At 43.1% G+C, this 25,568-nt stretch overlaps 1 long non-coding RNA gene across 3 annotated transcripts in view, besides 2 other annotated features; it reads right to left on the reverse strand.

Annotated features, from left to right (window-relative positions):
- Positions 1-25,568, reverse strand: part of LOC105375341 (uncharacterized) — a 170,147-nt gene that overhangs the window by 85,026 nt on the left and 59,553 nt on the right. For all 3 annotated transcript variants that reach the window (NR_187905.1, NR_187906.1, NR_187907.1), the window contains exon 3: positions 1,726-1,863. This is a non-coding gene — a long non-coding RNA (uncharacterized LOC105375341). The remainder of the gene's footprint in view (positions 1-1,725; positions 1,864-25,568) is intronic.
- Positions 3,737-4,494: an enhancer, noted in NCBI's record as "OCT4-NANOG-H3K27ac hESC enhancer chr7:67703297-67704054 (GRCh37/hg19 assembly coordinates)". NCBI's record gives its function as "activates a minimal SCP1, AML or CMV promoter by ChIP-STARR-seq in naive and primed H9 embryonic stem cells {active_cell/tissue: H9 hESC(naive and primed)}" and the evidence as "EXISTENCE:reporter gene assay evidence [ECO:0000049][PMID:30033119]".
- Positions 11,134-12,333: an enhancer, noted in NCBI's record as "MED14-independent group 3 enhancer chr7:67710694-67711893 (GRCh37/hg19 assembly coordinates)". NCBI's record gives its function as "activates an origin of replication core promoter dependent on BRD2, BRD4, P300/CBP and CDK7 cofactors, and independent of MED14, by STARR-seq in HCT116 cells {active_cell/tissue: HCT116}" and the evidence as "EXISTENCE:reporter gene assay evidence [ECO:0000049][PMID:35650434]".

The raw sequence follows: 25,568 nt of genomic DNA on the forward strand, positions 1-25,568 counted from the left end.
GCAGAAGGCACCCAAGAGACAGGTCACCATGCAGAACAATTCTAGGTGGCTCCATTCACATTTAGCCTATGTACGTGGTGGCCCCTGGGATTGTGCAGTGCGCAACTTACACAACTGTATGCAGGGATTCTGCTGAATCCAGTCATTACCACCCTTGCCCTTTCTCACACACAGATTTAGGATCCTTTTACAGAGGAGGCAAGTGAGGCCCAGAGGAGGAAAGCAAGTTGTTCAAAGCCACCCAGCTAACCACAGAGCCAGACTAAAATCCAGATTATTGAATTTTAGAGCAATATTCTTTCCTCTCTACAATGATGACTGGAAAGGATATTGTCACTCAAAACAGCCACCTCCACCACAGCAATAAGTTCATTCTTAAACGTATTTGTTTCAGGCCAGGCATGGTGGCTCACGCCTGTAATCCCAGTACCTTGGGAGGCTAAGGCAGGCAGATCACCTGAGGTCAGGAGTCCAAGACCAACCTGGCCAACAAGGTGAAACCCAGTCTCTACCAAAAATACAAAAATTAGCCGGGCGTGATGGTGGATGCCTGTAATCCCAGCTACTCAGGAGGCTGAGGCAGGAGAATTGCTTGAACCTGGGAAGGCGGAGGTTGTAGTGAGCTGAGATCGCACCATTGCACTCCAGCCTGGGCGACAAGAGCAAAACTCCATCTCAAAAAAAAAAAAAAGTATTTGTTTCAGATCCACATGACTGTAGGCTAAACCAGGGCTATTTTTATAGCATCTCAAATTCTAAATTGAGTGAAAATTCTAAGTACACTTTTCTCACATACGAAATGACAATAATAGTACCTACCTCTTAGGGTTCTTCTGGAGATAGATGAGTTAATATTTGTGGAACACTTAGAACAGTGCCTGTCATAAAGTACTATATAGGTATTGGATATTATTATTATTACTATTAGCATGTATTTCTCCCCTATTAATACGTGGGTTCTTCAGAGACCACATGTTTTATCTGTGGTTTCATTGGACCTCGCATGACTTTGAGGAGTGATGTATCAATGTTGTTTGATGATGGATGGACGGATGGGTGGATGGATGGATGAATAGATGAATGGATGGATGGTTGGATGGATGGATAGATGGACAGATGAGTGGAGAGATAGATGGATAAAAGAGTATGGATGAATGAAAGGATGGATGAATGGATGGAAGGTGGATGGATGGATGGATGGATGGGTGGATGGATGGATGAATAGATGAATGAATTGATGGATGGTTGAATGGATGGGTAGATGGACAGATGAATGGAGAGATTAGATGGATAAAGGAGTATGGATGAGTGAAAGAGGATGGATGAATGAATGGATGGATGAAGGGGGATGGATGAATGGATGCATGGTGGATGGATGCATGGTGGATGTATGATTGAATTCAAGCTCTTGTTAGTAACACAACGGAATGAGTATTTCATTGGACTTTTTTTCATGGAGAACAAAGATATGACACCATTCACAAGTGATATGTGAATGCTTTAGTTTCATTGAATTCTAGACAGTTCAAGGCCTTTGATGACTCATCTTACCCAACTTATGGCTTGATGCAGGAAATCACATGACCAGTAGCCTGAACATGCAGCTCTAGTTTAAAAACTGTGGCAAAGTGAGAGCTCATTCCATGGGAGGCAGACAGTCCTGTGACTGTACCACTGTAATGATTAGCAAGTTCTTCTCAGGTCCATTCTATGCCTTCAACTTACCTGGACCTCCTGGTGACACCAAGAAGGAGTCTAATTTCACCACCACCAGGTTTTTTGTTCACTTGTTCAGCAAATATTTAGGGAGCATACAATGATTAAAGAGTAAACATGGTTCCTGCTGTCTTGGAGATGACTTTGCTATGGAAGAGACAGAAGAGAAAATGATTTGCTGAAGATATAAGGACACACTATGGAAAGTGCTACAGAGGAAATGCACAGGGGAAGCTGTTTTGACCAGGGCACCCCTGAATCTGCCCTGAGATGCAGGAGAGAGGAGGGGTGCTGGTTTTCAGTGCTGCAGAGTCTACTAATAGTGTAGATAGAAGCAAGGCGCAGTGGCTCACACCCATAATCCCAGCACTTTGGGAGGCTGAGGTGGGCAGATCACGAGGTTGGGAGTTTGAGACCACCCTGGCCAACATAGTGAGACCCCATCTCTACTAAAAATACAAAAATTAGCCAGGCGTGGTGGTGAATGCCTGTAATCCCAGCTACTCAGGAGGCTGAGGCAGGAGAATCACTTGAACCCAGGAGGCGGAGGTTGCAGTGAGCTGAGATTATGCCATTGCACTCTAGCCTGGGTGACAGAGCAAGACTCCATCTCAAAAGAAAAAAAAAAAGTATATATAGAGTGTAGATAGAAAAGTGTCAGGACCACACATTAATTCAATGATTGTTCAACTCTCAACTAGGTGAGGTAAGAAAGACAGTGTCAGCCAGGCATCTGCTTGCAGATGCTTAGGTATTCTGAAAAAAAGCACCCCAAAATTGAACAGCCAGATGGATCATCCAAATTGGAACAGACTTTGGAGATCACCCGGGTCATACTGCTCCCTCAGCATGTGCTCCTTGTGCACACACCCACACACACAAACTGACGACACTTAATAAGAGAAAGGGGTAAACTTCAGATGTCCTGACCCCAGCTCTCTCTCTCTGACCATTGGTACATTGTCTTTGCTTATGCTAACTCCTATATGCTGTGGTCCTCAGGATTTTCTTAATGAGTTTAGAAATGTCATTTTACTAACTCATTCAATCATTTATTCGTTCATTCATTCATTTGGCAAAACTGAAGCTGAGATGTTCCAAAAAGCACTATCTACCCCTCCCTTCCCTTCCAAATCCCCTACCACAGTTTTTTTTCGGGGGTTTTTTTGTTTGTTTGTTTGTTTTTGTTTTTTTTTGAGGCAGTCTTGCTCTGTTGCCCAGGTGCTGCAGTGCAGTGCTGTGATCTCAGATCTCGGCTTACTGCAACCTCCACCTCCTGAGTTCAAGCAATTCTCGTGCCTCAGCCTCCCAAGTAGCTGGGATTATAGGTGTGTACCACCACACCTGGCTAATTTTAGTATTGTTAGTAGAGACGTGGTTTCACCATGTTGGCCAGGCTGGTCTCAAACTCATGAACTCAGGTGATCCTTCTGCCTTGGTCTCTCAAAATGCTGGGGTTACACGCGTGAGCCACCATGCCCGGCCCCCTATGTCCTCTACTATAGTCTTAACCCCACAATGTGCCTAAACAACTAATCCCAAGAAGGAGGCTATATTAGAATCAATATACTGGTATATTGATTCTATACATATATACCTATATATATACCAATATATATTGGTTTATATCAATATATTGGTATATTCCTAAGATACCAATATCATTTGTTTTAATTATCAGTTTAACCCACTGAGGGTTGATCATGCCCATTTTACAGATAGAAAACTGAGGCACAGTGAAGGAGAAAAATTTGTACACAGTGGGTTCAGGAGAAAACCCAAATAGCCTGGCCTTACAGCCTTATGACATTGGCATTAATGCTGTGTTAAATAATGTTAAATAGATGGGTGTCTGTCTGAGTGAATGTAGAGCTGAATAACCGTTCAGGTCAGGTCAGTTCTTATAAGGAAGGAACATGGACAGTAACAATCTTTGAGTCAGTGGTGTATACTCCTGGACACAAATGAATTCCTCATGGAAAGGGTTAGACATTTCTGCCCTCTGGACCTTAAGGGTTCCTGACAAGTCTTTTACATATGTTTCCCTAATGGATGGCTCGGAAAAATCACTGAAATATATTATGTGTGGGAGGGAGGAAGAAAGAAAATAAGTAAGCGGGATGGGGGTGTCAGAGACATTCGAACCAGAGTGACTCCATTTGGAATAGGGGCTGGGTAGAATTAGGCTGAGACCTGCTAGGCTGCTTCCCCAGGAGGCTAGGCATTCTTAGTCATAGGATGTTTATGGTTAAGGGAACAGGTTAACAATGTTTGCCAAACAGATCTAGGAGTTAACAGACCCAGGAAATGGCCTGCTGTCTTGATATCTTAAGAACAAAAGCATGATTTGTTTAAGAATAAGTTTTGCCGCCTGGCCTGCAATCCCAGCACTTTGAGAGACAGAGGTGGGAGGATTGCTTGAGCCCAGTAGTTTGAGACCAGTCTAGGAAACCCTGTCTCTAAAAAAATACAAAAATTAGTCAGGCATGGTGGTGCACCCTTGTAGTCTTAACTACTTGGGAGGCTGAGGTGGGAGGATTACTTGAGCCCAAGAGGTTGAGGCTGCAGTGAGCTATGATCACACCGCTGCACTCCAGCCTGGGTGACAGAGCAAGACCCTGTCTCAAAAAAATAAAAAAATAAACATAAGAACAGAATGAGTTTTGCTTTAAATATAGTAACATAGATTCTTGCAGAAAACAGTAGTTACAGAAAGATGAAAAATCCTTTGTCCCAGCACCTTGTAGTAGAGTACACCACCCCCGTGAGTTTTTGCCTTTTTTATCATATACGAACAAACGTTGCAACTAAGGTGGGCGCATTCTTCCTTTTGCTTTGGGGGGATGTCTTGCTGTTGGTGGAGCAGCCTTTCTTTTATTTCTTTCTTACTTTTTCGTTTTGTTTTGTTTTGTTTTGTTGTTTGTTTGTATTTTTGAGACAGAGTCTTGCTCTGTTGCCAGGCTGGAGTGCAGTGGTGCTAGCTCAGCTCACTGCAACCTCCACCTACTGGGTTCAAGTGATTCTCTTGCCTCAGCCTCCCGAGTAGCTGGGTCTACAGGTACACGCCACCATGCCCAGCTAATTTTTGTATTTTCAGTAGAGATGGGGTTTCACAGTGTTGGCCAGGATGGTCTCTATCTCTTGACCTTGTGATCTGCCCGCCTCAGCCTCCCAAAGTGCTGGGATTACAGGAGTGAGCCACTGCACCCTGGCTATTCCTTTACTTTCTTAATAAACTTGCTTTCCCTTTACTCTGTGGATTCACCCTAAATTCTTTCTTGCGTGAGATCCAAGAACCCTCTCTTGGAATCTGGATAGGGTCCCCTTCTGATAACAGGGGGAGAAGATGGAAGAGGTGGCAGTGAAGGGAAGGAGGAAAGAGAAGGTTTAGAAAAGGAAGACAAAGCAATTCAAATTCTATTGAGGGTAGAGAGTCTTCCATTTGTCTCTGGCAACCACTGATCTCCTTTCTGAATGTAGAATTTTTTTTTTTTTTTCGAGATGGAGTCTTGCTCTGTTGCCCAGGCTGGAGTGCAGTGGCACGATCTCGGCTCACTGCAAGCTCTGCCTCATGGGTTCACACCATTCTCCTGCCTCAGCCTCCCCAGTAGCTGGGACTACAGGAGCCTGCCACCACGCCTGGCTAATGTTTTGTGTTTTTTTAGTAGAGACAGGGTTTCACTGTGTTAGCCAGGATGGTCTTGATCTCCTGACCTCGTGATCCGCCTGCCTCGGGTTCCCAAAGTGCTGGGATTACAGGCTTGAGCCACCGAGCCTGGCCATGAAAGTAGAATTAATGTGTCTTTGCAAAGGCTTGGAGCATCATCAAGGCTCATTGCTGAACAAGGTAAGGAAACTATAGCCTGTCTTGTATCTAAGCCCTGGTCTTTACTGGCACTGCCTCCTCTAGAGTGGGTAAAGGGTCTGCTTGGTGAGACCCTCACAGATTCCCCATTTTTCAAGAATAGGAGCCTGTAGACAGTGCAATACTACATCCTAGACAGAAGAAAATCTCCTTGGCTTTCTTAACATCCTCCCTCTATGCCCAACTCTGCTGACACTATTCAACAACCCACATTGACTTTGGGAGGAGAAAGAAAAAATGTAATTGTTAAAGTGTAAATCCCCTTAAATGCTAAGATCAAAAGGAAAGTTTCCATCCAATGACATGTAATTAAACATGCAGATGTGCCCCACTCTGATTCATGAATGCTTATGCACTTCTAAATTGTTGCCAGGGAGATCAGGGCCTGAGAAAATTAAAACCATCACATCTTAAAAGAATACATGATTTTCACAGCTTTCTAACGTGATTTCCTGTCGTGCAGAACTTTGTGTTTTCCCATATTCCACTCTTTGCCTCTGTACTGCTGTTCAGGACTGAACGGAAGCAGCTTTGCAAACATCTTTCAGTCAAGAATTTCCGCAGGCCCAGGCTGATGTGAGCATAGAAACAGACAGCAAGGCCCAACATTGTCCTACTGCTTCATGTTCAACCAGAGGATAAATGCCCCCATTACAAAGTACACTGAGGGTAGTCTCAGGGGCGAGGGGTGGGGAGAATGTAGCATTGTAAGTAAAGTTACAATGTAACTCAAAGTTATGAGGTGTCTCAGTTTACATCAGGGTGACCTGCACAATTTATTTAGTTTCTCTACGTCTTAATGTCTTCTGTTGGGTTCCCCTAGAAGTAGACAAGGAGACAAGTATTTTTGGACAGAAAAATACAGGAAACAGCAGTAGAAGACTGGGCAGAGAAGGGGAAGTATACTAATAAAGCCAATTACCACTGTGGATCCTACCAGGGATTGCTGGGAAATGGTAGAGAAGTTCTGATATAGTTTGGCTCTGTGTCCCCACCCAAATCTAATGTCTAACTATAATTTCCAGTGTTGGAGGAAGGACCTGGTGGGAGGTGTTTGAATCATTGAGCAGACTTTTCTTTTTGCTGTTCTCACGATAGAGTTCTCACAAGATCTGGTTGTTTAAAAGTGTGTAACACTTCCCCTTTCACTCTCTTTCTCTCCTGCTGGCCATGTGAAGATGTGCCTGCTTCCCCTTCACCTTGCACCATGATTGTAAGTTTTCTGAGGCCTCCCCAGAAGCAGAAGCCTGTATAGCCTTAATGTTATTGGTTGGGAACCATGAGCCAATTAAACCTCTTTTCTTCATAAATTGCCCAGTCTCAGTTATGTTTTTATAGCAGTGTGAGAGTGGACTAATGCAAGTTCACTTCAAAAAGCTTTCTCTCCAAAGAGGCAAGGGAGTTGGAAATTTATCTAACTCGCATTGGACATTGCCTGAGGTTATTCACAGGTAACGGTAATACTTCTCTTTGCCTTGAAAGCAAGTAGAGAGGACCTTCCTGGCATCAGTAAAAGGCCCCCAGAAAAAGAGACACAAGTACTAGCAATTGCAAATTATCCAGAGCCCTTCTAAGTTGTAAGATCTGAAGGAAATGCCTGCCATCTATAGTCTCAGCCACACTTAGTTTCTTAATCTGCAAAATGGAATTAGTACTTACTTTATGAGGCTGTTGCAGAAATTCATTGAGTTGCTACATGCAAAACACTGAGAACTCAGCTGGGCATATAATAAGCATTCTATTGCATGGCATTATTGCCATCGTTTTTACTTCTGTTACTGCTGCTACTGCTTGTATTACTTGTGCTTTTTTGATATGAAAGTCCACCATCAGGGAGCACTGTAGTGGAAAAGGTATTAGGCCGGGCATAGCCTTTAGTTCTCTGGCCTTGAGTCCTTCATTTGTGATATTCAGTTAACAATCCTGTGCCAGTAGGGGTATTAAAGATTAAATAAATGTGAGAATGTGCCTGATGCTAAATCTTCCTCAAAGCATTATGGACTCTCAGAGCCAGAAGGAGCTCATCTCTCCTGTGCCCCTGATATGCTGGGATCTGCAATATTACTGGCAACAGGTGGGCCTCCAGAATCTGCTCCAGGGCTTTTGGAAGTCCTGACACCCTCTCGATCTTCTTCTCTGTAACATGCACACTTTGGCCTGTGTCAGTTTGCTGGACCCACATCAGGCCAGCCCTCTTCCTAGGATAAAATTTTCTTTCTTTCTTTCTTTCTTTCTTTCTTTCTTTCTTTCTTTCTTTCTTTCTTTCTTTCTTTCTTTCTTTCTTTCTTTCCCTCCCTCCCTCCCTCCCTCCCTTCTTTCTTTCTCTTTCTTTCTTTCTTTCTTTCTTTCTTTCTTTCTTTCTTTCTTTTCTTTCTTTCTTTCCTTTTTTAGACAAGATCTCACTCTAGTGCCCAAGTTGGAGTGCAGTGCAGTGAACATGGCTCACTGCTGCCTTGACCTCCTGAGCTCAAGCAATCCTCCCACCTCAGCCTTCCAGTAGCTGGGACTACAGGTGCATGCCACCATGCCCAGCTAATTTTTGTATTTTTTGTAGAGACAGGATTTCACCACATTGCCTAGTCCAGTCTCAAACTCCTGGTCTAAAGTGATCCTTACACCTTGGCCTCCCAAAATGCTCAGATTACAGGTATGAGCCACCACATCTCTGCCCAGGAACAGAATATTGACTGTCATTTTAAAAGAATTCAAGAAGTTTGCTTGAATTCATGATCTAGCAGCTCACCAGCTGGGAATAATATAATGCCAATTTTTAGAGTAATGGCAAAATAAATCAGGATATAGCCGTAGAACAGAATACTATGTAGAAAGTGAGAAAGAATGAAGTATTCCTTTATTTCTTCTTAAGGAAATAACTCTAAGCATAACATTGAGAAAGAATGATGTATTGCTTTATTTCCTATTAAAGAAATAACTCTGAGCATAATGTTGAGTGATAAAAGCAGGTTGTATGCTATAATAACATTTAAAGCATGCAAAATATAGCATATTTTAATTATATAGGAATGTTTATATGCATTCCATATTGCAACAGTTAATTTTAAATATCACATGGTTAGGCCATGGCTGAATACTATCTTAGATGTTTCTGTAAAGATATTATTTAGATGAGATTAACGTTTAGATCAGTGTGCTTTAAGTAAAACAGCTTACTCTCCATAGTGGGGTGGGCCTCACTTAATCAGTTGAAGACCTTAAAAGAAATAAGGCTGACCTCCCCCAGGGAAGAAGGAATTATTCCTCCAGGCTTTCTTTGGACCCAAGTTGCAACATCACTTCTTCCCTGGGTCTCCACACTGATGGTTGGAGCTACCCTGTCTGCATATTTTGGACTTACTAGCTTCCACGATTGTGTGACCCAATTCCTTACAATAAATCTCTTTCTCTTCTCTCTCTTTCTCTCTGTCCCTCTGTGTGTGTGTGTGTTTGTATATATATATATTTTATATATATAATTATATATAATAATATAATTATATATTATATATTATATATACATATATGGGTATATATGTATATATGTGTATGTGTGTATATATCAATACATACACACACATAAGTATGTATCGATATATACATGTATGTATATATAAATAAATCTATGTATACATATATATTCCTTACCAATTCCTTACGATAAATCTCTCTGTTCTCTTTCTCTCTCTCTATATGTATATATACATATACATATATAGATATATACATGTATGTATACATAAATCTATGTATGTATACATAGATATGTATGTGCACATATCTATGTATACATACATAGATTTATGTACACAGATATGCATGTGTTTGTACACATATATTTGTACGTATATGTATATTTGTATATACATATGTATATGTGTGTATATATGCATGTGTACGTCATGTATATATACATATATATGTATATATATGCACATACATATACACACACACACATATATACACACACACACAAATTCTCACCCATGCACCTGCACATACACACTTCTGGAACCAGATAGGGAAGGAGGGACAGTAGGAACTAGGGACATTTTAGACTTATCTGTATTGTTTTCACTTTTTAACAAAGAAAACTTATGCAAGCATTAATTTTGCAATTAAAAGGCGTTCAAACATTTTGCTGCAGGCATTGAGTAATATCACCTGTGAACTGTCACTAATGTCATGCTACCACTGTCAATGTTACAAAATAACACTATTTCTGTTTTCTGCTTTCCTAGTTTCCTGTTGCGCCGTTTTTGATCTCTGCATGGTTCCACTGTCATCTAGCTTTTTGAAAAAAATCATTTTGTTTGCTCTTCTTCCAGGTCCTGGCTTCCTGTCCTGGCCATCCAATCTAATCCACCACAAACAGGCCTCGTTCCCCTTTGTCACTGCAGGCCAACTCTGAACCGTTTATTTTCTTTCACTGACATAGAAAGATGAGATGCGTCAGCATCCTTGCAAACATGAAAGCCTAGCCGGTGAAGTGCTGAGTGCTGGAAACTTTGACTGGGCATGAACAGGTAGAGAAACTGGAGATTCTGTATCAGATGAAGTGACTCAAAGGGACAGAATGGCCATCGTTGGACAGTTTAAGTGCTTTCATAAGGAAGAGGAATCAGGACTCACTTCATGTGGTGCATGGTGCAGAATCAACGGGATGAATGTTTCCAGGAAGCAGATTTCAGCCCATGATAAAGAAGAACTTTCTGGTACATGGAAGGACTCCACAGTGGAAGGGGCTGACACTACAGAGTGAGCTTCCTATTACAGGAGATATTCAAACCAGATAGACGTATCATTCTCAGGTTCCTAGACTTAGTGTAAAGTAAAATTAGATAGCCTATAAGTTCTAATACTATGATTCTCAAAAAACACCAGTTCTGTAGTTTAGATCACACCAAGATTTCAGTTAGACCATGGAAAAGAAGGAAATTCGATCTGGTGTTTTCAAATCAATTATTGGGCAAAGAATCAAGATATCCAGTTTCTGCAGTAGAACTTCGGGGCTTGAGGCTTGATATGGTTTGGCTATGTGTCTCCACCCAAATCTCATCTCCACCCAAATCTCATCTCAAATTGTAATCCCCACGTGTTAAGGGAGAGACCTGGCGGTAGGTGATTGGCTCATGGGGACAGTTTCCCCCATGCCGTTCTTGTTATAGTGAGTAAGTTCTTAAGAAATCTGATGGTTTTATAAGGGGCTTTTCCCACTTTGCTCTCGTTCTCTTTCATGCCACCTTGAGAAGAAGGTACTTGCTTCTCCTTTGCTTTCCGCCATGTTTGTAAGTTTCCTGAGGCCTCCACAGCCAATCAGAACTGTGAGTCAATTAAGCTCCTTTCTTTGGTAAATTACCCAGTCTTGGGTATTTCTTTGTAGCAGTGTTAGAATGGACTAATACAAGGCTCCACGAAGGTTCTACACCACACCAAATCGGATTAGTCACTGGGGCATTATGCAAAAAAATTTCTCTTGATGAAAATTGTGTGGATCCAGAGTCATCCGCAATAAAAGGGATGATCTGATAGAATTAGCAAATGTTCCAAACACTTCACCGGTTTCCTAAGAAGTCCTCTTGAGTTCTTGGAGCATGTGACTCATTGGAGCATCTGTGGAATCCATTCCTTTGCTTTGACATACATTCGTGTTGAATTTAGAGAGCTCTGGCTTTGCTAGTACTGGTCTAGACTGAAGACAAAAGGAGAATTGATGGCTGTAGTTGGTTGAAGTCAAGACAGAAGGCTGGAGTAGCAAGGGCACTCCCCGAGCTGGGAGTGCAGGGACCTTGACAGTCTCATTATCTCATCCCTTATATGGAGCCTGCTATGGAGTAAGTGTGATTCATGCTTCCATTTGAATGATAAATGAAGCCTGAGGAATGTGTGATAGCCAGGGGTTGGCAACCCCTTTTCTTAGCCCATAGTTTCTTGCAGCTAATTATGGTGGTTCCCCAAATGCAAAACTCATTCTGGCTCTTTCCCCAGCCAGAGTAAAGTGGGAACATCCTCATATTCCACACGAATAAGAAGCAATTCCTCTTGCCCTTCAAGTAAAGGCCCAAAACTACAGCCAGCTGTCTCATGTGATACCACGGACTCTGCCATTGTGTCAGCCCACCTGGGCACTGCTATTCTGTATCTGTTACAAGGAACAAGTTAAATGGTGGGAAGTTGCCCAGACTGAAAGAGCCCCAGGGGAGAAAGGAGCAGTCAGCATCAAAGCATTCCCTGCTCACTCAGTGACTTTCAAATGTACTTCAAGCAGGCAGTCACGCCACTCTAGCTAAGCAGGGGGAAGATGCAGGGAGGATGCGCTGGCTCTTGCAATTAAGCATACTGAAACCCTGCGGCTCAGGCTGGTGTTGTGGGAGGAAGGCAGGACTAAGTGACTCATTTATGACTTGGCACTTATGTGTTCAGCCAAGCAGCTGGTGCATGGAGATCAACAGGTTCAGCAAGCTCAGGTGTGGTTCTGGCAGGTGTCTGTGACCAGGAGACAGACAATACTCAGAATCATGATTGTCGCAGGTGGGCTGAAAGCAGACTCCAGTTCCCTGAGAAAGAGTCAAAGTGTGTATAGTAGACCTCATCATTAAGCAGGCTGCAATCCAGGCAGAGCATATATTCCTGGAAGGCACCTGTAGGGTTGGGCAGGAAAGCTGAGCTGGAAGCCCAGGTATACTGAACTGATGAAATCTACTGAGCACTGGGATGATAGGGGGTTCATGCCAGTATATCTGACACGTAGTGCCAGTAACTCCACGAATGCCCCTTGTCCCTCGCTCAGGTAGGGGACATCCACATACCTTGCTTAGGATCATTTCAGGGCCCAATCAAGACTGAGACTATAAAGAAGGCACCAAGGACTCCATGCAAGAGGGGCTCAGGGCTATAAGATTGTTCAGAAGTCTAGGAAAATTGCATCATCCTCTAGCAGGACACATCTCTGCCCCAAACGGGCAGCAATGGCAAAATCGCCAATGCAGCATGGTGTCATAGAGAGTTGATTGTGGCTGCTTTCCATCCTGCGCCAGTGGGATGGACCATTAAATGAACACGTTGCCAAATAATGATTTTGTTGTAGCATGTTATTGATAACGAGAAAAGACTAGCTCACAGACTCTAGCTCACGGACTCTCCGTGTCGATCCAGCAGACAGCCCAACTCCCCACTTCCCACAGGTAATTATCTGTTCCTAATTGGGTCTGAAAGCAGTGAGTTTGTATTTAAAGGTAGGAGTACAGAACACTTTGTATTTTTTTCAGAGACTGCATGGAGTTGAGTGCTCTGTGTAACTGTGGCTTAAAGAGCCAGATGGGTTCTCCATGCAACCCAGGTCCTGCTCATAAAACTCTGTGTCCTTGGGCAGAATGTGTCACTTCTCAGAGCCTATGTTTCTTTATTTATAGATAGAAAAGGAGGGCTATGATATTTAAATAACGAACACAAAAGCAACTGTCCCAGTGTCTAACACATGTGAGGTGTTCAGGGATTGCTAACTGGACCTGAATCTTTCTTGTTCAATGAACAGAAATGTTTTTTCAACTCTACCTCTTGTTGCTGTGGTGTGTGTTGTAAATACTGTCATCATTGGCCAGGCATGGCAGCTCATGCTTGTAATCCCAGCACTTTGGGTGACCAAGGCTGGAGGATCACTTGAGACCAGGAATTCAAGACAAGCCTAGGCAACACAGCAAGAACTTGTCTCTAGAAAAAAATTAAAAATTAGCCAGATGTGGAAGCATGTGCCTGTATTACCAGCTACTTGGGAGGCCAAGGCAGGAGGATTGCTTGAGCCCCGGATTTTGAAGTTACAGGGAGCTATGATCATGCCACTGCACATCAGCCTGGGTGACAGAGTAAGACTCTGTCTCTGTAAAATATAGTGTGTGTGTGTGTGTGTGTGTGTGTGTGTGTGTGTGTATTATTTTGTATATTATCTCATTGAATTTTCTGTCTTTTTTTTGAGACAGAGTCTCACTCTGTTACCCAGGCTGGAGTGCAATGGTGCGATCTCAGCTCACTGCAACCTCCACCTTCCGGTTTCAAGAGATTCTCACGCCTCAGCCTCTATCACGCCTGGCTAATTTTTGCATTTTTAGTTGAGACAGGGTTTCACCATGTTGGCCAGGCTGATCTCGAACTCCTGTCCTCAGGTGACCCACCCACCTTGGCCTCCCAAAATGCTGGGATTACAGGTGTGAGCCACCGTGCCTGGCCTACCTCATTGAATTTTCAATACAGCTCTGTCACACAATCAAGACAGGCAAAGTTATTTTCAGTTTACAGATGGGAACATCAAGGTTGGCAGAGGGGTTGTGCCCATAACTAAGATGATAATGTCAGAGTTTGTCGCAGCAGGGTCCAAAAGAAATATTGAGCTTCAAGGAAGAGGAAGTAAGAGAAAAGCCTGCATGGATGCCAAGAAGATTCAAGGAAGCCACAGCCTTGAAGAAGCTGGACAATAGGTACAGTTCTCAGCCATCCCTTGATGAGATGAAGGGGAACAGAAGCAAATTCCAGTTCCCAGGACAAGAGATACATCCTTTCACTACCATGGATGAAATGTAGGATGGCTGGGGAATAACACAGGGTTTCCCTTCCCAAGGGACTATTGCTCTGGGGGAATCCTGAAAACTCAAAGGCCCAACTAGAACTGGGGGCAGGTATGGCGAAGCCACTGCCTAGCCTTAGCTTGAGAAGTCTGAATTAGCTGATGAGCCCCGGAGAAGGCAGCAGATTCCACCTGCATTTTGCTGCATGCTCTTTGAAACAGCAGCATTGAGACCAAGATGGGGCAAAGGTTCCTGCTGAGCCTGCCCTGTTCAAGCCCTTTCCATTCACCAGAAACATTCTTGGAGGTTTGCTCATGGAAGGCACAGAGGCCACTCTGGGTGCCTGCCCTTGACCTGGGGAGTTCTGCTAGGCTACCTGCCACCTTCCTGTCTAGCTTCCCTGGTCTCCTGTCCCACTTTGGTGCTAGATCTTAACTCCCACTCTCTAGTGAGTTCTTACATAATGCTGTGGATAGATTTAGAACAAGCATGGCTTTTGTCCCAGTCTCAGAATGCAGTTATGTTTTTTACCTACCTTACTTTCTTGCTGAAATGTAAGTACCTCCAGGGTGAGGTCTTGTCTTTCTCACCTTTGAATCCCCCAGACCTGCTGCTACACCTGAACCATGGTGGGTGCTTCTTGAATGAGTGAATGAATGAATGAGTGAATGAGTGAATGAGTAAATGAATGAGTTAATGAATTAGTGAGTTAATGAATGAATGATGGTGACTAACTGAATGAACTAGTGGATGAATGGGTTAATGAATGAATGATGCTGAGTGAATGAATGAATAAATGAGAGAGTGAATGAATAAATGAGAGAGTAAATGAATAAGTGTGAGTAAATGAGTGAGAGAATAAATAAATGATTGAACAAATTAGTGGGTGGATGAATGAATGAGTGAGTTAATGACTGATGAGTAAATGAACGAGTGAATAAATGAATGAGTGGATGAGTGAGTGTGTGGATGACTGAATGAATGAATAAGTGAGTGAATGAATAAGTGAGTGAATGAATAAATGAGTGAATGAATGAGTGGGTGGATGACTAAATGAGTGAATGAATGAGTGAGTGAATGAGTGAAGTGAGCAAATGAATTAGGGAGTGAATAAAGTGAGTGAATGAATGAGAGTGAATGAATGAATGAGAGTGAAAGAATGAAGGTGAATGAATGAGTGAATAAATGAGTGAGTGAATGGAGTAAGTGAATAAGTGAATGATGAATGAATCTGGCATCCCCCAAATCACTAGAATTTAAGCTTCACAAGGACAAGGAATGTTATCTGTCTTCTTGTTCATTGCTGAATTCCATGCCTGGTACCTGATCGACTTTCAATAAATATTGCTGAATGGATAAAAGATGGGTCTTAGCAGCACTGACCTTCACATTCTCTTCTGATTTCTATAGCACTGAAGCTGAGGGAGACTTTAAAGAAGAATTGGGCCTCAGGAAAGTGTGGCTCAGTGAAGGGAAAGGCATTGCCCAAGCACACATGGCTGGGCTGGAACCGGAGTGGGGATTCTGGCTTCCAGTCCAGGGCTCTCTACTTACCACCTGCCCCTTCTTCATGAAGCTTACACTCTATAGAAAGTGCATTGGACATCCAGCCTCACATTTGCTCAGCGCCATACTTGTGGCAGAGCAGTGGAAGTGCATGCTCACTGGGTGTCTGAGAATGAACTCTGTCTGTTCTGTTTCTTGGTCAGAGGGACCCAGGCCCTACGGTATGCATAGAGCAAGGCCATAGCAATAGCAAGAGCTGGAGCTTGAGCTAGGAAAGCCCCCAGGGCAGACTGCTCACACTGCCGGGGGGCCCTGGGAGCCTTGGGTTCACTTGTTTTTCCCTCCGGGTTTGTCTCTTCTTGAGCTCCCAGGGCTCACAGCCTTCATCCTCCACAGAGGCAAGTGCTGCAGAAATAAACAGGTATACCACTTGGCTACCTCCCTGAAGGCAAGAGGTTAGCCCAGCAGCACTGGCTTCGGAACACCTGGATTCAAAGGTTGGCGCTGCCGCTTCCTTGCAAGGAAAACTTGGGCAAGTTACTGATCTTCTCTAGGACTCGGTTTCGCCATCTGTAATAACACCCATGGTAATATGTTTAGGGGAATAAACAAAATGAAACATGTGAAAATACTAAGTACAGTGTATGATGTGTGGCAAGCATTGAAGCAGGTGATACACTCAGCTGGAGAGATGATGTAGTAGGGTGCTTAGAGCAAGACTGCCTGGGTACAAATCCCAGCTCTGCTCCCTAGCAGCTATGAGCCTGGGTGCAGGTTACTCAACCTCTCTGTGGTTCAGTATCAATATCAATAAGATAAGGCTCATAATGGAGCAATTTCATTGGGTTTACATCTGACTCAAATGAGCTAATTCACAGAAAGCATTTAGGACAGTCTGCCATGTGCTAAGTGCTGAATAAGCATCAGCAATTCTACTCTTTTTACTTTCTAGTTTTAAGAATGAATTTAGAGAGCCAGATTCTTTCTACTGAAAGCCTCTGCATTGAAGAGATTAATGCAGGCACCAAGACATTGGTGCCAACATTGAGCTTATTGGCTGGTAATCTCATTTGTTTCTCCTTGCTGTTTTCGAGCGTGACCCATACCTAGCAGAGCAATATGCTTGTATGATACTCACAAGCTGGGCTTGCTGGGCAGTGACTTCTCCACTGCATGCTATAAATGGCTGCCAGCAGTGAAATTACATTTGTATTGATCTAAAGAACATTTTATTGATCAAACACAAGGAATGAAACCTTTGAAACATAAACCCATTATTTTAACAATTTGTTGCCAGGAGTAGGCAAAGGCGGCTTTTCCATTTCTTTTGGTGACTTGGCTTTCCAAGGACAGTTTCTGGTCTATATAGAGGGTCTGGAGACCCAGCCCCATGAGCTTATTAATGACCTTCTCGGTGTCTCCAGCTCCCTTACCCTCATCTTTCTTCTCCATGGTTCTGTTCCTCGAGGCATATCTGCAGGCAGGCCTTTCTGCCCCTAAACACATTTTCTCTCTCTTCCTTGCCTGAGTCACCCTTTCACAGCCTTTAAAACTCCTTTCCATCCTTATCTCATGCACTGGGTTAGAGGTCCTACCCCTCCATGTTCCTGGATCATTCTGAGGAATCAAGGATGATGGTGAAGGCACTAGCTTTCCAGGACTCCCCTGGGAAGCTCTCAAAGCTGTCTTGGCAGGTCTGGAGCACAAAGTCATCTGAATCCATTATTCCTCTGGCTCCTGCATCTGATTTCATAATCGAAATTAACATTGTTGAGGGCTATCCAAGAAACTTAGGACCTCTAGGTGAAAAAATACTCACAAGGGGGTAGTAGCTCAGCAGCAATTTCCAAAATATTCAATTAACATGTGCACTCAGTCTTTGAATAAACCTGTGCCTGGTCTCTTGGGAGGAGCCAAAGATTCATCCTCTGTCTCAGTGGGCTGACAATCTAGCCTGAGAGAGGAGAAATCCACATAAAGGGGTGAACCATAGAAGAAAGGATTTTACTAGGAGTTATAAGGGTAGCACAACAACTCAACGAGGGAAAGAGTAGTCTCTTTAACAAATGGTGCTGAGACAACTGGATATCCACATGAAAAAGAGGGAAGTTGAACCCCTGCCTCACACCGTATACAAAAATTAGCTTAAAACAGAGTAAAGACCTTAATGTAACAGCTAAAACTATACAACTCTTAGAAGAAAGGATAGGAGTAAATCTTCATGACATAGGATTAGGAAGTAGTTGCTTAGATATGATGCCTAAAGCAGAAGCAACCAAATGAAAAAAATAATTAGGTAAATTGGACTTGATCAAGATGAAAACATTTTGTGGTTCAGAGGATGGCCATAGAATATGCAAATCTCATATCCAATGAGTCTAATATCTATAATAAAGAACTCTTACAACTCAACAATAAAAAGACAAATAACCCAATTTTATAAATGGACAGATAATTTGAACAAACATTTCTCCAAAGTAGATATATAAATGGCCCATAAACACATGAAAAGATACTCAACATCACTAGTCACTGAGAAAATGCAAATCAAAACCACAATAAGATATCACTTCATACTCACTAAGATGGCTATCATCAAAAAGACAGAAATAACAAGAGTTGGCAAGGCTACAGAGAAATTAGAATCCTTGTACATTGTTAAAAAAATGCAAAGATGGTGCAGCCACTTTGGAAAACAGTTTGGCAGTTTCTCAAACATTAAGCCTAAAATTAACATATAACTTAACAATTCCACTTTTTGGTATTTATTCAAGAGTATTGAAATATTTTTACACAAACGTGTATACAAATGCACATATCAGCATGAATGATACAGCCAAAAGGTGTAAACAACTCAAATGCCTATCAACTGATGCATAGATAAATAAAATATTGTATATTTATACAATAAAATATTATTTAGTCATAAAAAGAAAAGAAGTACTGATGTTTTCAAGGTTTACTAATGAACCTTGAAAACATTCTGCTCAGTGAAAGAAGCCAGACATAAAGGCCACATATTATATGATCCCATTTATTTATTTATTTTTATTTATTTATTTATTTATTTTTGAGACGGAGTCTCGCTCTGTCGCCCAGGCTGGAGTGCAGTGGCGCCATCTCGGCTCACTGTAAGCTCAGCCTCCCAAGTAGCTGGGACTACAGGTGCCTGCCACCACGGCCAGCTAATTTTTTTGTATTTTTTAGTAGAGACAGGGTTTCACCATGCTGTCAATCTCCTGACCTCGTGATCCTCCCACCTCAGCCTCCCAAAGTGCTGGGATTACAGGCGTGAGCCACTGCCCTGGCCTATATGAACCTATTTAAGTGAATTGTTCAGAATAAGAGAATCCATAGAGTCAGAAGTAGATTAATGGTCGCCTGGAGGTGGGAGGAGGAGAATGGGGACTGAGCACTAATGGGCATGCAGTTTCCTTTTGGGGCAATGAAAATGTTCTGGAATTAGTGAAGATAGTTGTGTAACGGTTTAAATAAATGTACTAAAAGACACTAAATTGTACATTTTTGAAAAGTAAATTTTATGCAATGAAAATTATATTTCAATTAAAAAAAAATTAGTAGCGTAGGACCCAGGTTGCTTTAGATGATGGGAGAAAGGAGAAAGTGGTCAGACCAGGGCATCACTGGAGCTGGGCTGGAGTGAGGGCTCTCTCCCCTTTCCCTGCAACTTTGCCCTGAGGGCTTCTGTCTCCCCACAATGACCCCTGTGACTGAGAGAACAACAAAACCATGATTTCTGGCAAATAGAAGTCCTATGGCCCAGGATGCTCATTCTTGCATGCAATTTTAAAGGGAATTTACTTTTGTTTTTGAATTTCCATTTTCTCTTGGAGAAGAGAGGCAGAAACTGTTGACAAGTCTGGAAATTGGAAATGTAAATGAAAAAGGGAGTCCCTGGGGAGAGCGTGGGTATCCAGCCTCCCCAGCTCAATCACCTCGTGCCAGGGAGGCTCACGGCTCAGGGACTCAGCAGCAAAACTGGCTGAAACGATTTCCCATCCATCTCTCAGACAAGGTAAGCTACCCTGGGAGTGATGCCACAACGAAATGGAATAGATCATTCCTTCATGTACACCACCAGGCATGGTAGCAAGAGAGTGCCAGTCTCTATTACCTCTGCATAGAACACAGCACCAGTTTAGGCAGTGGTTTTGACCTTGACTGGCACGTAGTTATGGTATAGTGTGGACAGCCACCCGGGAATTGATGGAATGGGCTGACTCTGTTTATGGGGAAGTGGGACAAATCTTGCGCATACACTCTGGGCAGTGGCAGACAGGCTGGGTGTGTGCCCGGAGAGCATGTGCAGGCACCTTCATCTCACAGGGGTGCAGAACGGCTGAGTGGCTTGGCCAAGGTGACAAAGCTTATTGCTAATAGATCAAATGCTAGAAGCCAGATCAGCTGTCTCCGGATTTATTCTTTACTCCCTTACTTCACGCTTCTCAAATGAAAGATGCAATGACCATGGACTCAAACCCTGGCAAACACCCTGACTTTGACTATGTCTCTCTTTAGACAGAATTTCTCTTTCTCTTCCTCCTCCTTTTCTTCCTCTTCTTTTCCTCCTCCTCCTTCTCCTTCTTCTTCTCCTTATTCTTCTTCTCCTTTTCCTTCTTCTTCCTCTTCCTCTTCTTTTCTCCTTCTTCTGCCTTTCCTCCTCCTCCTTCTCTCCTCCCCTTCCTCCTCCTTCTATTCTTCTCCTTTCTCTTCCTCCTTTTTCTTCTTCTCTTCCTCCTCCTCCTCATGCTTCTTGTCCTTCTCCTCCTCCTTCTCCTCTTTTGTCCTTTTCCTCCTCTCCTCTTCCCCTCCTCCTCCTTCCTCTTCTTCTTCTCCTTATTCTTCTTCTCCTTTTCCTTCTTCTTCCTCTTCCTCTTCTTCTTTTCTCCTTCTTCCGCCTTTCCTCCTCCCTCTCTCCTCCCCTTCCTCCTCCTTCTATTCTTCTCCTTTCTCCTCTTTCTCCTCCTCCTCCTTTTTCTTCTTCTCTTCCTCCTCCTCCTCCTGCTTCATGTCCTTCTCCTCCTCCTTCTCCTTCTCCTCCTTTGTGCTTTTCCTCCTCTCCTCCTCCTTTTCCTCCTCTCCTCCTCCCCTCCTCCTTCTCCCCTCCTCCCCTTCCTTCCTCTTCTTCGTCTTCTTCTTCTCCTTATTCTTCTCCTTTTCCTTCTTCTTCCTCTTCATCTTCTTCTTTTCTCCTTCTTCTGCCTTTCCTCCTCCTCCTTCTCTCCTCCCCTTCCTCCTCCTTCTATTCTTCTCCCTTCTCCTCCTCCTCCTCCTTTTTTTCTCCTCTTCCTCCTCCTCCTACTTCTTGTCCTTCTCCTCCTTCTCCTCCTTTGTCCTTTTCCTCCTCTCCTCCTCCTCCCTCTTCTTCTTCTTCTTCCTCTTCCCCTTCTCCTTCCCCTTCTCCTCCTCCTCCACCTCCACCTCCTGCTCCTGCTCCTTTCTCCTTTTCTTTCTCCTCCTACCCACCTCTTCCTCCTTCTTCTCCTCCTTCATCTCTTTCTGTAACCATCCAATGGGTTCACTTTGCCTGCTGCCTAAACAGAGCCTATTTCTCAAGACAGGGGAACTGCAATAGAGAAAGAGTAATTCATGCAGAGTCAGCTGTATACAGGAGACCCGAGCTTTATTACTACTCAAATCAGTCTCCCCGAGCATTTGGGTGAGGAGAGTTTTTAAGGACAACTTGGCGGGTGGTGGGGAGCCAGTGAACCAGGAGCACTGATTGGTCAGGGATGAAATCATAAGAAATTGAAGCTGTCTTATTGCACTGAGTCAGCTCCTGGGTGGGAACCACAAGATCAGATGAGCCAGTTAATTGATCTGGATGGTGCCAGCTGATCCATCAAGTGCAAGGTCTGCAAAATATATCTCAATTGCTGGTCTTAGGAGGAGTTTATGGAGGGTCAGAATCTTGTAGCCTCCGGCTGCATGACTCCTAAACCATAATTTCTAATCTTATGGCTAGTGTTAGTCCTACAAAGGCAATCTAGTCCCCAGGCAAGAAGGAGGTCTGCTTTGCTAAAGGGTTGTTATCATCTTTGTTTTAAACTATAAGCTCAGTTTCCTTTAAAGTTAGTTCAGCCTATGCCCAGAAATGAACAAGGACAGCTTGGAGGTTAGAAGCAAGATGGAGTTGGTTAAGTTAGATCTCTTTCACTGTCTCAGTCATAGTTTTGCAAAGGTGGTTTCAGTTCTCCTTCTCCTCCTCTCTCTCTTTCACTCTCTCTGCCTCCCTCTCTCCCTTTCTTTTCTGACTGCATCAAGTATAATTCACCGATGTACATAGTGAACTATGTACATCGATGTACATAGTGTACAAAGGCAACTCTAGAGCAGTGATTCCCAAACCTGAGAAGCATCAGAGTCACTTGCAGGGCTTGCTAAGAGAGATGGCTGGGCCCCAACTTCAGAGAGCCTGACTCAATAGGTCTAGGGTGGAGCTGAGAATTTGCATTGCTAATCATTTCCCAGGTGACAAGACTGCTGCCTTAGGGATCACACTTTAAAAACCCTGCTCTGGAGTATAAAAGATCCACTGCCCAGCCTGCAGACAGGACTCCTCCTGCACCATTTTACACAGGTGAACACCTCTCTCATTTTTATACGTTTCCAGAAAATGAAATTCTACAGGCAAGTAATTATTATATCATAATAATTTATTAAACACTTACCAAATGTCAAGTGAACTAAATTCCATAAGGAGGCTTTTCTGATTCCAAGCCCCTGTACTGCAGTGAGTTTAAACTCATTGTTGGTTAAGAAGCAACCTCCCTTTGCCTCTCAGTGCTGAGAGCAGGACTCACGTGTGACTGAGGCTGGAGATATTGAGTGATGGAAATGATGCAATTGTCACTCACTGACTTTTCAGCTGCAGTCAGTTCTGGGAGCACTTGTTTAAGGATTTTGGTTTACTTGCTCCCAAAATATCCCTAGAAACCCAGAATCATAGACTTGCATATCTGGATAGGAATCTAGATATCACATCACCTCTCTTCATATAGCAACATCTACCTTTCTCTTGGTTTTCTGCTACAATCCTTCATTAGCTCCTATCTACAATGCCACAGCTTCCATAAAGCCTTCCCAATACCCAGAAGGAGATGGGCTCATTCCCTCTTCTGTGTCTTCATTGCATTACTCCTTTTTGATATATCTAGAGAGGAAAGCAAGTAAATGCCAGCTCTTAGAGGATTCTTACAGACTTAGTATGATTACTTTATTTGATAGGATGGAAAACTTAGGCCCAAGGAGAAAATTAGAATGTTAAGGACACCTGCACTCATATGTTTATCACAGCACTGTTCACAAAAGCAAAGACATGAAATCAACCCAGGTGCCCATCAGTAGTGGGTTGGATAAAGAAAGTGTGGTATATATACACCATGGAATACTATGAGTCATAAAAAAGAATGAAATCAGCTGGGCACGGTGGCTCACGCCTGTAATCCCAGCATTTTGGGAGGCCGAGGAGGGTGGATCACAAGGTCAGGAGTTCAAGATCAGCCTGGCCAAGATGGTGAAACCCTGTCTCTGCTAAAAATACAAAAAATTAACTGGGCGTAGTGGCGGGTGCCTGTAATCCCAGCTACTCGGAAGGCTGAGGTAAGGAATTGCTTGAACCCGGGAGGTGGATGTTGCAGTGAGCCAAAATTGCACTCCAGCCTGGGCGACAGAGAGAGACTCCGTCTCAAAAAAAAAAAAAAAATGAAATCATGTTTTGTTTTGTTTTGTTTTTGCAGCCACATGGGTGCACCTGGAAGCCATTATCTTAAGTGAATGCAGAAACAGAAAACCAAATACCACATGTTCTCACTTATAAGCAGAAGCTAAACATGGGGTACACATAAATATAAAGATGGGAACAATAGAGACTGTGGACTACTGAGTGGGGAGACAGGGAATAAGGGTGAAAAAGCTACCTATTGGGTACTAATTTCACTACTTGGGTGATGGGATCATGACAAATCCAAACCTCAGCATCACAGAATATACCCATGTAACAAACCTGGACATGTGTTAGCCTTCCTTGGATCTGTAACATTTTTCTAACCATCTCCCATATATTGGGTATTGAGTGATCATGGATTGTTGCCAAATAGTTGGTAGAAATGATGGTTCAGAGAAAAGAACATTAAATACAGAGTCAGGAGACTGGAGTGGGGTCCCCATCTTTTGAGACATTACTTAATGTGTCCAGGGAAAAGTTGCCTGAATTTTCTGAGCCTCAGTTTCCTTTGTGTAAGAAATGAAGGTTGAAGGCAATAGCTTCCAAGGTCGTCTCCTCTACACTTAATAAAAAATGAAAAGATCTGGTGATATTTGATACATTACCAATGATACCACCAACTGAGGGCCAGGAGTCCCTGCCTTAAGAACTGACCTCCTACTACCCAGACTCTGTGTTCTACCTTTAGGGTTCTGAAACGAAAGAAGTACCGCAAAGCCCAGGAGCTGGGTCAGGAAGTCTGATGGCTCCAGGCAGTGACAGCTTCGTGCTCCAGTGAACTCACAAAATGCAGTGTAATTTCCTCTTCCATTTAACTATCAGCAGCACGGAAGGAGAGCCACTCTCTCCTGCCCTCCTCTCCCTGCCTTCGTTAGTCATGACTCATTAATTGCCACCGGCGAATGAGTATTATTCTAATTTTCCAAATCTAATTCGCAGATGTTTTCAGCTAAAGATCAGGATATAGGTTTTTGGCTTAGCTAATGAAATATCTAATGAATTTGCATTAGTGACAATTACAGACAGGACACCCATAAGAGAAGGGCCAATCACAGCCCTCAGCTGATGCCACTTGCTAACGGCTGCTTTAAGGAGAAAAGTACAGTTCTTGAGGTCCTCTCCCTCACTGACAATGCCATTCAGGAGACAGGGGCCAGAAGAAGGGAATTGAAGAAGAAGCACTTGCCTTTCCTTTATCTTCTTTTGTGCCGTGGCTCTGCCTTCAAACCAACAGCCGGAAGTGAGAGTTCAACCAACGCCTTTCAAATGTAAAAATGGCGTCCTCAAAATAGGATCCATTTATAAACTTGGACGCAAGTGAGATTATCTTAATCTCAACAAACAGACAAGCAAGCAAAAAAACCTGGACCCTAGAATAATGACTCAACCAGGGAAGGCAGATTATTTTCCTAATCAGATAGGAGTCTAAGGCAAATAGTCACTATGGAAAGCTAGTGAGCATTTAAACTACAGTCTTGGGACCTGCTCATGCCTGTAATCCCAGCACTTTGGGAGGCCAAAGAGGGAGGAGCACTTGAAGCTAGGAATTCAAGACCAGTCTGCGCAACATAGCAAGACCACTATCTCTAAAAAACGAAAAAAAAATTTAGCTTGGCATGGTGGTACACACCTGTAGTCCCAGCTACATAGAAGTCTGTGGTGGGAGACTTGCTTGAGCCCAGGAGTTCAAGGCTGCAGTGAACTATGATCACTCTCTAGCCTGGGTGACATAGCAAAGCTTGCTTTAAGAAAATAAATAAATTGATTAATTAAACAAAACATAGTCTTGGAATTCTTGTTCAGCCCCCATGTAAAAGAGGGTGTGAGTCTGTGAGATTCCTCTTTTGCCCCCACACTCCTCTTTCTTTGTTTCATAGGGTGCAAATCTCAGTTGAAGTCTGCAAAACCTAGAGATAGAAAAGCCTTTAAAACCACAGAGCTCGATCAGTTGGCATTGACAATTTTTATGATCTCTGTTCCACTGCAAGCCAGTTGTCCAATCAGAGTCTAAGACAAGGTCTAAGCGAGTTAAGGCTGTGAAAGCAAACTAAAATCTTGGGACCTCAAGCTTCTCATGCCAAAGAGAAAGTTAAGCTTGGAAATTGAATCATGCAAAAAAACTACCTTCCTTTTGTTCCCAAGTGGATAGCTGTAATTTTACATGCTGACTTTATCTCATGTA

This window comes from Homo sapiens, chromosome 7 (genome assembly GCF_000001405.40).
Source record: "Homo sapiens chromosome 7, GRCh38.p14 Primary Assembly".
In the NCBI taxonomy this organism is placed as follows: domain Eukaryota; kingdom Metazoa; phylum Chordata; class Mammalia; order Primates; family Hominidae; genus Homo; species Homo sapiens.